The 13192-nt window shown below is 42.5% G+C and overlaps 1 protein-coding gene across 2 annotated transcripts in view; it reads left to right on the top strand.

Moving 5' to 3' along the window:
* TMOD2 (tropomodulin 2) overlaps positions 1–13192 on the top strand; it is a 64767-nt gene that overhangs the window by 2869 nt on the left and 48706 nt on the right. For both annotated transcript variants that reach the window (NM_014548.4, NM_001142885.2), the window contains exon 2: positions 11908–12102. In NM_014548.4, the coding sequence (NP_055363.1) occupies positions 11977–12102 (126 nt within the window). In that variant the 5' untranslated portion in view covers positions 11908–11976. The remainder of the gene's footprint in view (positions 1–11907; positions 12103–13192) is intronic.

A 13192-nucleotide genomic window follows, 5' to 3' on the forward strand; every position in this document is an offset into this window, starting at 1 on the left:
CAGACCACGAAAACAGAATCAACTCTTACAACACTTAATCTCTTACACGGAATCCCTTGCTGCAAAGATATTTTTGCTTTACCTGGATTATATGTGTTTATGTATACATGAAAATACTAATTTAAAGTATACATATTTACTTGCATGAATGTCTGTGTGTACTTGTGAATCTCTCAGTCAGTATTCCCCAAAATACATAGAATGTTAATGGGTTACAAGAAAAAGAAATTGCCTAGCCAGATGTGGAAAACACTAAACAAAGCTGGACAAGTTGGTTTATTCTTGACTTTTCAGAGCCTTTCATGGGTTAATGATCATTGTATATGGGGATGTAAATGGGGTGGGAATGTCCATAGGATGTGATATGTAATGTTTCCCAAACTGTGTGCAAAAATAAAAAATGAAAAATATCTTGAGGGGCTATCGTTACATGGAACCACCTTTGAGAAACTGCCTTTAATGCATTTTTGAGTGAAAGGTCAGGACATATGATTAAATGTGTAAGTTGTAAGTATTTGTGCTTCACATTACTTACAGATTAGAATTCAAATTTCAGTTTCTGGTTTTAATGGATCATAACAGTTTGACCCCAGTCTACTTTTTCATCCTAAATTTCCTAACTTTCTTCCTATAAATTCTCCTGCTTAGTCCTTTGTTGTATACTATGAACCATTTTTATTTTCAGCACACCAAAAAGTCAATTCTACGTAACTTTAAGGCTTCGTGGTTGTGTAAAATGAGATGCGCTCTTCTGCTATGGCTCTTCCATGGACTGAAATAGCCACCTTTCCTCCCAAAGCCATTTTGAGTTCCTTGGCCTTGGTCCCATGTTTCAGCACAACCTTCCTTAAAGCTGTGATTTCTTGCTATTTCTGCTTTTATGATTTGCCATCCTGTTTTGGCATCAAGGCTGCCCCACTAATTACCTCTTTCACATGTGTCATCACTATTCCTAGGTTCCCCTGGTGAGAGCTAGGTAGGGTGGGGATGAGAAAGTCAACTCCAGGACTGTGAGTGGCAGGAGCTCACAAAATAGGGCACAAGGCCAGCCATGCCAAGCCTGGACATGAGGAGAAAGGAGACAAGCTGGGGCACAAGCCCTAAGAAAGGACCAGGAGGTCCCTCATCAGAGTGGTTAGAGGAGTGTGGAGTCCAGTGAGCTGGGCTGCTATTCAAGCGGTGTGCATGGGGACAACTGTCCTCATTGTTGATAAACAACCATTCTGACTGGGCAGTGTCCCTTCTATACCAGTTGCTAAATGTTTTGCACATCATCTAGGTAAGCACTCACAAGTCAGGGTGCATACAGCATCCATAAGTCATTACAAAACCTGGATCAAAACCTAGCTGGTATAAAATGCCAAAGAAAGAGACAAGATGAGTGAGTCAAAGACCACATAAGCAAGCAGAAGAAAGGAGGGCACATGAATCAAAGGACAAAAAGCAGGAAACCCGGTGCCAATCAGGAAGTTAGAAGAAGCCCATAAGTTCCCAAAGGCAAGAGGAAGGACATGGTTAAAAGCAACAGGCAGTTAAAACCCAGAAAGGCGCAGATCTCCAAGTGGAAGGCAAGGAGATAAATAGAGGTCAAGCAAGAGGAACTCCTCTAAAAACAGAAAAGAAGGCCAAACACAGGGACAAGACAACAGCGGGAAATAGGACCCGCCATGAGAATTAGAAACCAAGAGGCAGGCTGGGCAGACAGCAAGACTTTTTGGCTTTTTGACTGCTTCCTACCCAGGTGGAAATCTATCTCATAGCTTGGCTAGCTTACACTATGGTGGCTTTCTACACCTGGCAATGCTGACCCGCAGCTCTTACAGGTTTTGCCTCTTTATATTCAGCAGATCTTGATGGGGAAAACAGAGGGAAAGAACACCTAAAACACGAGATTATTCCACAACCAAGGACGAAAGAGAAATAGCTTTGACTGAGGGCTTGCGCTTGCTAGACACTGCGCCTAATATGTACATGGTCACCTTAAGTGTCACCTCAGCCTTCTGAGATAAGTACTGTTCTTTGCATGTTTTACTGAGGAAGGACCAGAAGTTTGGAGAGGTTGTCACTGCACACATATCTGCACCATCAGACCTTGGGTTGGTTAACTCCAAGGCCCGTGCTTTTAGTCTTCTGTGTTCTTCTAACCTTGGACAGGAGCAGTCACTAGTGGGCACCTTGTTTTTCAAGTATGATTTAATCTTTGGCAAGTTTGTGTTGTAAGATTGGGAAATACGAGCTCTGCATTCTAGTAAGATCTGTTCCTCTTTCCTCTTTCAGCTTGTTCCTTCCCATTGCCGTACCATATTTCAGACTGAGACTTCTCCTTATCCCGCCTCATTCTGTCCTTCATCCTCTGCAAGTATTTCCCAGAATATATAGAAGTCTTTTAGTTGTTTAAAATAAAACAAACTTAATTGGCCCATCTTCAAATAGCTACATTACAAAACAGGCGGTTGCTGTGTTATATTTGCCCAGCAGCCAGAAATGAATTAAATATCTAAGATCAATTCATGTTTTGTTGGAGGATACATTGATATGCAGATTCTGTTCTAATTTACTAGTTTTAGAAAATGTGGATTTGGTTCTGGTGCAAATCGGTGCACTAATTGTTTAAAATTATGAAATATTGAAGACATATTAAAAAGAATAAAGAGGGCTGAGCGTGGTGGCTCACGCCTGTAATCCCAGCACTTTGGGATGCCAAGGCAGGTGGATCACCTGTGATCAGGAGCTCGAGACCAGCCTGGCCAACATGGTGAAACCCCGTCTCTACTAAAAATACAAAAATTAGCTGGGCGTGGTGGCGGGCACCTGTAGTCCCAGCTTCTCGGGAGGCTGAGGCAGGAGAATGGCGTGAACCCGGGAGGCAGAGCTTGCAGTGAACGGAGATCGCACCACTGCACTCCAGCCTGGGCGACACAGCCAGACTCCGTCTCAAAAAAAAAAAAAAAAAAAAAAAGCCATACTCCTTATTTTCCTTCCCAAGGCTTGTATATTTGGATAATAGGAAGAGTTATTTAAGGGCCCAAGTCATGCTTCCATCAGCTCAAGTCTTTAATCCTATTTTCTGTTTTCCTAACTGGCTCCTGTACTTGCCCACCAGGACTCCTGGAAGCCTTGTTAGGCATTTGCTTCACTCCAGCATGTACATTAGCATCATATTGCATGTTAAATGCTTGCCATGGGACAGACACACCACTGGAGGGGAGGCTGTAGCAGTGCTTGCTAACTTCCCACGGCAGCATTGCTAACAGGACGGAAGACAAATGGGAGCCCTTGGGCAGCCTTGGTGGGGGCAAAAGCAGACCAGCCATGAGCTGGAAAAGCTTTGATTTGACTTTAAAAGCTATGAGAATACTGCATTCTTCTCCACAGTATTTCTATATTTGCTTTTTAAAAATACAGCCTGGGCAATGTAGCGAGACCCTGTCTCTACAAAAAATTTAAAAACTAGCTGAGTATAGTGGGACATACCTGTAGTCTCAGCTGGGGTCAAAGGAGGTGGGGGGAATACTGAGGCAAGAGGTTCACTTAAGCTCAGGAGTACAAGGCTGCAGTGAGCTATGATCACATCATTGCACTCCAGCCTGGGGAACAGAGTGAGACCCTATTTCTAATAATAATAATAATAATAATAATAACTAGCTTTTCCCCAAATCTTCAGATCAAAGTTGTGCTCCAGGAGGATGCAAGTTTTTTTTTTCTCCTCTGACTTTGAGATCCCCTGGTACATTGACACAACATAGGCAATTTGTTTTAACAGCTACTGTTACATAGTATGAACATGTTATTTTAATTAATTAATGTATTTTCCTACTGAAGTATGACATGGCACTTATTTTCTGGGAGTTTGTAGTGTAGCTGGAGAGAGAACCATACATGCAACATACATGAAAAGATAGCAAGATATGTCAAATTGGTGATGTAGGCATACAAATTTAGAGGAAGGGGCAACTTCTGTGGGCTTAGATGATCTCAGAAAGCTCCATCACAGGGAGAGGAAGCAGTGGATAGAGTGGAATGAGCTCTGGACCTGCGGGTTCATTTGAACTCATTTCTTTCACATGACATTTGTTACACAATATTTATTGGATACCTACTTCAGATCAAGAACTGTGCTGGGAGTCAGGATTTTATCAGTGAATAAAACTCATACAGTCCCCCTCCCTCACAGAGATTAGCAAGGAAAATAGAGATAAAGCAAGTAGTTGTAATAAAGCCAAGAACAGATGTGATTAAAGGGGTAGCATGGAGATGGGGAGTGACCCAGACCTTGTCTCCAGGTCCAAACAAGGCTTCCCTGAAGAAGTGAAGCTTGCATGAGACCAGGGGATGAGTAGGATAGCAGTCAGCCAGAGGGGAGTGGGGTGAGAGTGTTCTGAGCAGAGAGAACAACATAAGGCATGATCCAGGCATTGGAATTGGGCCAGGAGGCTGGAGCCAGGAGGAGATGGGGAGTGCAGCACAGGATGAGGCTGACGAAGATGACAGAAGACAGACTGAATTTGAACCTTATCCTCAAGGCAGCAGAAGCCACTGGAGGATTTTAAGTAACTAGAGAAGAGTTGTTTAACTCTGTGCTCACTTTGGCCATTTGTATGGCGAATGGATCAGGAAGGGATAGGGTTGAATGTGGACAATGCAGATGAGTGAAGTGGGTGGATTCTCAACACGTTTAGGTAAGGACAGGATTTGGTGATTGATGGCTGGAAAAGAGACGAGAGAGAGAAGATGTTAAGGATGGCTCCCTGGTTTTTCGGCCAATTTCCTGAAATGGGAGATTCTGGAGGAGGAAAGATGATGAGAGCACTTCTGACATATTTGAGGTGTCTGAGGCAGCCAAGGAGAGATGTGAATTAGGCAGATGGAAATATAGGGGCCTAACCCTCAGGAAAAAAGTCTAGGATGAAGATACAGATTTTGGAATCTCCTGGATATATATTATAATTAAAATTTTGGAGGCAGATGAGTTCCTCCAGAGAGAATATGTAGTATGGAAATAGAAGAATTTATAAGATGAGACCTTGAAGAATGCCAGTATTTAAGGTGGAGGAAGAAGAATTGCTAAAAGAGACCAAAAAGAAATGGTCAGAGAAATAGAAGAAAAACCATCTATGTTGCTGGATTGAGCAATCTTTAAGGACTCTTTCAGCTCTGACATTCTGTGGTCCTGCAGAACTGGGATCTGAGCCAGGTCTCAAGAGCAGAGCGCATAGATAGGCCATGAGAATAGAGAACAGCATTCCAAGTAATATTAATGTATCAGCCAGCATCCCAACAAGAAACGGGATACACTCGAGTAACTTGAGAAAAATTTAATAAAGAGGCTATTTACAAAGATGGGGGGAGGATTTAGGGAATCCAACAAGGCAGAACTCTGGCACCAGCTGCACAAGGAACCCTTACCACCCAAGGCCTGAGGCCAGCCAGGGGCAGGCAGCTGTATGGAGAGGGCTGCCTCTTGGGAGATGTGACCTTCTGGACCCAATCTCCCCCTCCCCTGCTCTCCAGTTTCCTGCTAGTGCCCCCTGTGGGCCAAACAGAAGCCAGACAGAAAGGGAACCCATTGATACAGTCTAAATAGATCATCTTCCTGGAGCACAGAGCAGCAGGGGAGTGGATGTGGAGGTGCAAACAGAAGACAGCCAGAACAATCATCCTGGAAAATGGAAGTATTTGGGTAAGAGGGTGTGTTCATTCCCTATTGCTGCTGTAACAAATTAGCATAAATCCAGTGGCTTAAAACAATACAAACTTATTCTTACTTTTGTGGAAGTTAGAAGTCTGAAACACATGTCACTGGGCTAAAATCAAGGTGTCACAGGACTGTATTCCTTTCTGAAGGCCCTAGGGGAGAATCCATGTCCTTGCCCTTCCCAGCCTCCAGAGGCTGCCCACATCCCTTGGCTCATGGCCCCTTCCACCATCTTCAAAGCAAAAAAATTGCATGACACTGACTCTTCTGCCTTCCTCTTCCATCTTTTAAGAGTCCTTTGGATTACATTGGCACACCCAGATCATCCAAAATGGTCTTTCTATTTTTAAATCCTTAATCTGGGCTGGGCGTGGTGGCTCACGCCTATAATCTCAGCACTTTGGGAGGCCGAAGTGAGTGGATCACTTGAGATCAGGTGCTCAAGACCAGCCTGGGCAACATGGTGAAACCCCATCTCTACTAAAAATACAAAAAATTAGCTGGGTATGGTGGTGCATGCCTGTAATCGCAGCTACTCTGGAGGCTGAGGCAGGAGAATTGCTTGAACCCGGGAGGTAGAGGTTGCAGTGAGCCGAGGTCGTGCCATTGCACTCCAGCCTGGGCAACAACAGCAAAACTCTGTCTCAAAAAAAGAAAAAAAAATCCTTAATCCTTAATCTAATCACAACTCATTTGTTTTGCCATGTAAAGTAACATATAGATGTGAGGAATAGGAGGAGGACGTATTTAGGTGGCCATGATTCTGCCTACCACAGAGAGCAAATAAGCCATTTTAGCCGAAGTGGGCTCCCCAGGAAAGTAACGAGAGAGAAAACAGGAAGTGCAGGTTAAAGCCAAATCATGGGAGCTTTGGAGCTAGATTGTCTGGATTTCATTCTGTGGACAAGAGGGAGCCATTGTAAGTTCTTAACCAGGGAAGTGGCTTGTTAGCAGTGTTGAGAAAAATGATCCAATTATAGTGTTCTGGGTAGCTTACAGGGAAAAACAGAAATCTTTCAAGATGCAATCAGAGTAGTGCAGGTATGAAGGAACAAAAGGCTGAAACAAGAGTGAAAAGAAGGGGTGGTGTGAAAAATGTTGTGCAATAAGGACCTGCAGGAGGTGCTGACCGGCTGGACTCAGAAAAAAAAGTGGGAGAGTCTGAAGCTGGTCTGAGTGTTGGGAGTGTCTGACTGGTAGATTAATCTAGACGGCAACTCTGTTTAGAGAAAAATTGGGAGTTTAGGTTTAGTTAGAGAATCCAGCAATAGAAATCCAAATAGAGGCTGGGCACTGTGGCTCATGCCTGTAATTCCAGCACTTTGGGAGGCTGAGGCAGGAGGATTGCTTGAGCCCAGGAATTCAAGACCAGCCTGGGCAATATAGTAAGACCTCATCTCTGCAAAAAAGAAAAAAAAATTTAATTAGCTGGGCATGGTGATACACACCTGTAGACCCAGCTACTCGAGGGACTGAAGCAGGAAGATCATTTGAGCCCAGGAATTGGAGGCTGCAGTTAGCTATGATCAAGCCAGCCTGGGCAACAGAATGAGACCCTGTCTTTAAAAAAAAAAAAAAATTCAAATAGAATCTTATAAACTCTAAGATACCATTGATTGTAAAACTCTCCAGTATTTTATGTATCACTAAGAAAAAAAGGCTGGCAATCAAAATATAACATGTTTTCTTAAAAATACAAATTTTTGGCCGGGCACGGTGGCTCATGCCTGTAATCCCAGCACTTTGGGAGGCCGAAACAGGCAGATCACGAGGTCAGGAGATCGAGACCATCCTGGCTAACACTGTGAAACCCTGTCTCTACTAAAAATACAAAAAAAATTATCCGGGCGTGGTGGCGGGCACCTGTAGTCCCAGCTACTCAGGAGGCTGAGGCAGGAGAATGGCATGAACCCGGGAGGTGGAGCTTGCAGTGAGCCGAGATTGCGCCACTGCACTCCAGCCTGGGTGTGAGTGTGAGACTCTGCCTCAAAAAAAAAAAAAAATACAAATTTTTGGCTGGGCACAGTGGCTCATACCTGTAATTCCAGCACTGTGGTAGGCCAGGCTGGGAGGATTGTTTGAAGACTGGAGTTGGAGACCAGCCTGGACAACATAGTGAGATCCTGTATCTTCAAAAAATAAAAAAAAAATAGCCCGGCATGGTGGTGCACACCTGTAGTCCTAGCTACTTAGGAGACTGATGTGGGAGAATCGCTTGAGCCCAAGAGGTCAAGGCTGCAGTGAGTTGTACTGACATACAACTGAACTCAAGCCTGGCAACAGACTGAGACCGTGTCTCAAAAAATAATAATAATTTTTACTTTATTGAAAGAGCTGTTTTCGACTTCCACATAGGTTTTTTGAAATCTTTTTTACTGAAGTGTAAATGACATACAATAAAGTGCACATATTTCAAGTGTACAGTTTGATAAGTTTTGATATATGCATGTATGTGTGAAACCATCACCACAATCAAGGTAGTAAACATATGCAACATCCCCAAAAGGTTCCCCATGCCCCTATGTCATTCCTCTCATCAGCCCCTCCCACCTCTCTCCCATGCCTAAGCAACTGTGATTTCTTTCTGTCATATAAATTAGTTTATGTGTTCTAAAATTTTAGATAAATGGAATCCTGCAGTATACATTCTTTTTGGTCTTCTTTCTCTCATTATAATTATTTTGAGGTTCATCCATGTTTTTGTGTACATCAATAGTTCATTCCCTTTTATTGCTGAGAAGTATTCCATTATGTGGATATACGACAATTTGTTTATTTTTATTTATTTATTTAGGGACAGGGTCTTATTCTGTTGCCCAGGCTGGAGTGCAGTGGTGCAATCATAGCTCACTGCATCCTCGACCTCCTGGCTGAAGCAATTCTCCCACCCCAACCTCCCGAATAACTGGGACTACAGGCATGTGCCACCATGCCCAGCTAATTTTTAAAAAAAAAAATTGTAGAAACGGGGTCTCACTGTGTTGCCCAGGCTGGTCTCAAATTCCTGGGCTCAAGAAATCCTCCTGCCTCAGCCTCCCAAAACATTGGGACTACAGGCGTGAGCCACTGCACCTGGTCACAATTTGTTTTTTATTCATTTACTATCATTCACATTGTTTTCAATTTTTGGCAATTACAAATAAATGTGCTATGAATATACATGGATTTTTAAAATCATATATCTCTCCTGTGCATACATTAAAAGGGGAAATGTAAGTGAAATGCATTCATTAGTTGATATTCTTAAAACTTCTTCACACTCAGAGTCCAACATTTTAGATCACTATTTTACTTATCCATATCTGGTTCTTTTCCACATAATAATTTCCTCTGTGCCATCGAGTGGTAATTTAAAAAATCTGTAAAAAAACAAAACTAAAACTAAAAGCCATTGAACTGGGCACTTAAACTCACTCTGTAATTATGTGGAACTGTCCTAATCTGGGCCTCTCTTCAGGAGTGCTGCTAAACATACCTGCATTGTCACCTCCCCACGATTGTCTGCTTTCTAAATTTTAAAAGAGTATTCCACAGTTGTCCCTGGGATTTCCTTCCAAGACCTTTACATCCACTCTGCTAGTTTTGAAGTTGGTGCTTTTGATATTTAGGTATATACAAGCAATGACAAGTACATTTTTACTGCTGCTGGGACAACAGTAATTGTAGGACACCATGAATTCTAAGACACATCTCAATTTCAGAATGTTAAATGTGGCAAAGTATGCATTTTAGAATCCATTAAGTAGGGTGCTTCAACCAATTCATTTGATGGATAAGGGCCTGGAAGATGCCATCCTTGTCCTGTGTGATGCAGTAAGTTAGTGGTAGCTGGCACCAGAACAAAGTGTATAGGATCCAATTGGTTTCTCTGACTTTAGTAGAATTTTTGTTTGTTTATTTACTAGAATATAGTCATTAAAGATTTAAAAAAAAAAAAGGAGGGCTGGGAGACCTCATCTCTACAAAAAAAAATTAAAAATTAGCTAGGCATCGTGGCACATGCCTGTAGTCCCGGGCTTCGTGTTGCACACTTGTAATCCCAGCTACTCCAGAGGTTGAGGTGGGAGGATCACTTGAGCCCAGGAGCTGGAGGTTGCAGTGAGCCGAGATGGTACCACTGCATTCCAGCCTGGGCAACAGAGGGAGACCCTATCTCTAAATTAATAAATAAGAAGCTGAGCTAATGGAAAAGAGCGTTGCATTGCATGTGAAAGGGGTATCGACACAGAAACCACAAACCTGAACATTGTGAGCCGTTGAATTCACAAAGGAAAGGGAACACTATTCCAATAGCCCTTAAGAGGCCCACCTGCAGCCAGTCTCGTTCCATGCCAACTCATTCTTCATTCTTATGATTTGAACTCATAAAAAAAGATTGGCGTGCTCAGATCACTCCCCTACTTTAAGAAGCTGTGGTGGCTTGCCATTCCCAACAGAATAAAGTTCAGGTCCCTTAGCAAGGCGCAGAAGGAAGGCCCTTCACAGATGTCCCACCCTCGTCTTTAGTTCTTTCCTCTCCCTTCCTCCATGAATCCCCCTCTGTAGCCATGCCGCCTGCTCTACCAGCATATCATTTACTGTCTTATCCTGTACCCCTTTGTGCTGTTCCCTTTTCCTAGAATGACACTTGCCCATTCATGTCCACCTTATGACCTCCTCCTTCAATGTTCAAACACAGCCTCTTTTTCACAGTTTCCCCTCAAACTTCCCCCACTTACTCAGTGATTATTTCCCCATGTGTTTTCAAACCTACTTTTTACATTATGTCTAATACTTACGGCATTATTGCTGTTTGTGTGAGAGTCTCACTAAGCTGTGATCTTGGGGAGAGGGGGCATTTTGATAAATATAATTTTTTTTTTGAGAGAGTCTCACTCTGTCACCCAGGCTGGAGTGCAGTGATGCCATCTCAGCACTGCAACCTCTGCCTCCCGGGTTCAAGCAATTCTCCTGCCTCAGCCTCCCGACTAGCTGGGACTACAGGCACATGCCACCACACCCAGCTAATTTTTGTATTTTTAGTAGAGATGGGGTTTCACCATATTGGTCAGGCTGGTCTCAAACTCCTGACCTCAGGTGATCCACCTGCCTTGGCCTTCCAAAGTGCTGGGATTACAGGCGTGAGCCAACGTTCCTGGCCTCCTCATGTGTTTTTAAACCTACTTTATACGTTACGTCTAATACTTATGACATTATTGCTATTTGTGTGCCTGTCTCACTAAGCTGTGATCTTCTTGGGGAAAGGTGGCATATCTTGTTTATCTTTGTATTTCTGTTTGCTAGAACTATGCCTGGCAAATAGTAGGTATATAACAAATATTTATTGGCCTGAAAGATGTGATTGGTGGTAATACCTCCTAAGGAGAAACACAGTCAGTGAAGTACATTACTGTTTCCTGAATGAGTATTATCTTTCTAAGGAAGATCTGTAGAATCCTCTGCAAGGAGAAAGGGATTGAGTAAAAATTGCATTTTGGGTGAATATTTAGAAGTGAGGTGGTATAAAAAATAAGGGTCGAGAGAAGAACGGTCTGAGGGTATAAAGAATGAATACGTAGAACAAAAAGGAAATGGGACTAGAAATAGAATGGAAAACAAAGCAAGGAGAAAAATAGAGAGAGTGATCATGTGGCCAGGATTTTAGAATCGCACTTAGTTTAATTGCAGGGGAGTTACTGGACAATGCTTTCTCACATAGACGTTCCAAACTCTCGTTCCTGAATGAATCCCATTTTGTATTCTTCACATCACTCTCTCCCTGAAAAGACACAAGTATGCTTCTTACAACTGCCTTACAATTAGTGCATTGTTCTCCCCTGTTTTTCTATGGAGAGCCAGGGAAGGCAGAGTAGTATAAGGGAAAAGCACCCACTATGCTGGGAATCAGAAGGCGGGGCTCACGCATCCCAGCTCTGTGACCTCGAGCAAGGCACTAGGCCACTTTCACCTCAGAATTGTCATCTATAAAATGGGAATGATAATATCGTCACGGGCTTCCTCACAGGATTGTTGTAAAGATCAAAATAAGTGAAATATGTGAAAACACTTTGTAAGCTGTCAGGTTGCTCTGCAAATGAAGGGAATATTACCTTTTTGTTGAATTATTCATTCAATACAGTAGGCTCCATTGGAGGCATACTTCTGTCTCCTGTTAATAAGTCCTGTTTACAGAACGGAGATTCTTTTTTATTGTGTTTCTTTTTTATTAACAGTATTCTGAAGTCTCAGGAAACTGGACCATTTAAATGTGCATGGCCCATGAGAAAGGCTTATAAGAAGCCATGGCACTCCCCTTTCAAAAAGAGCTGGAGAAATACAAGAACATTGATGAAGATGAGCTTCTTGGCAAACTCTCAGAAGAGGAACTGAAACAGTTGGAAAATGTTCTAGATGACCTAGATCCTGAGGTTAGTGACATGGAACTGAAGCAGAGTGGTTAATGATAGTATGGATAAATGGCATGGCTTGGTCCTTAAACAATGGTAGAAATCCCTTAGCTCGGAATGCACATTTTCTTTTCTTCCTCTGATTGGTTCTGGGTCACCTGTGTTTACAAATTCATAGAGAACCTCATAGCCACTACAGTGTGATACAGCAAATGTATTTCTCAAAAACCAGCCCAATGTAAATGGGGGGAAATATTTTCCGTTGGTTGAGAAAGGACTAGTCTTGTTTAGGGGAAAAAGAAGGAAAGAGGAAAAGAGAGCAAATCTTACTGAGTTTTTTCTGAGTCATATATTTCTCTGGGCACAGAAGCCCTTGAGGTAAACTTTATTAACCCCTAGACATGGAGAGGTAATTTATATAAGATTCCACACTGGTAAGTGTCAGAGATGGTATTTAAACCAGGTTTTTAGGCCCAAATGCAGAATTTTTTTTTTTTTTGAGACAGTCTCACTCTGTCACCCAGGCTGGAGTGCCGTGGCAAGATCTCGGCTCACTGCAACCTCTGCCTCCCAGATTCAAGCGATTCTCCTACCTCAGCCTCCCAGGTAGCTGAAATTATAGACACATGCCACCATGCCTGGCTGATTTTTATATTTTTAGTAGAGACGGGGTTTCGCCAGGTTGGCCATGTTGGTCTCGAATTCCTGACCTCAGGTGATCTGCCCACCTCAGCCTCCCAAAGTACTGGGATTATAGGCCTAAGCCACCACACCCGGCCCCAAACGCAGATTTTTAAAAATATCTCATTTCTTTCAAATGCACAAATAATGTGAACTCTTTGATGAACTTATAACAAAGAATAGATTAGACTGACTATAATCATGATACCAAGTTCATTTCAATGGAGTTTCTAATGTTTTTATAAGTTCTTGAAAAGCTAAGTCGCTTGTTATATTGTTTGATTAGCAAGCACTTTCTTCAGACCTGCTGGTATGATCTTAAACTTAGAATTAGCAGTACTTTTATAAAAAAAGATATGCTGGAAATTGCTCCGTGTAATTTTTTAAATAAAAAGTCAATTACGGTTAAAAAAAAAAAATCGGAGCCATC

The sequence above is a fragment of the Homo sapiens genome, chromosome 15 (genome assembly GCF_000001405.40).
Source record: "Homo sapiens chromosome 15, GRCh38.p14 Primary Assembly".
NCBI lineage: Eukaryota > Metazoa > Chordata > Mammalia > Primates > Hominidae > Homo > Homo sapiens.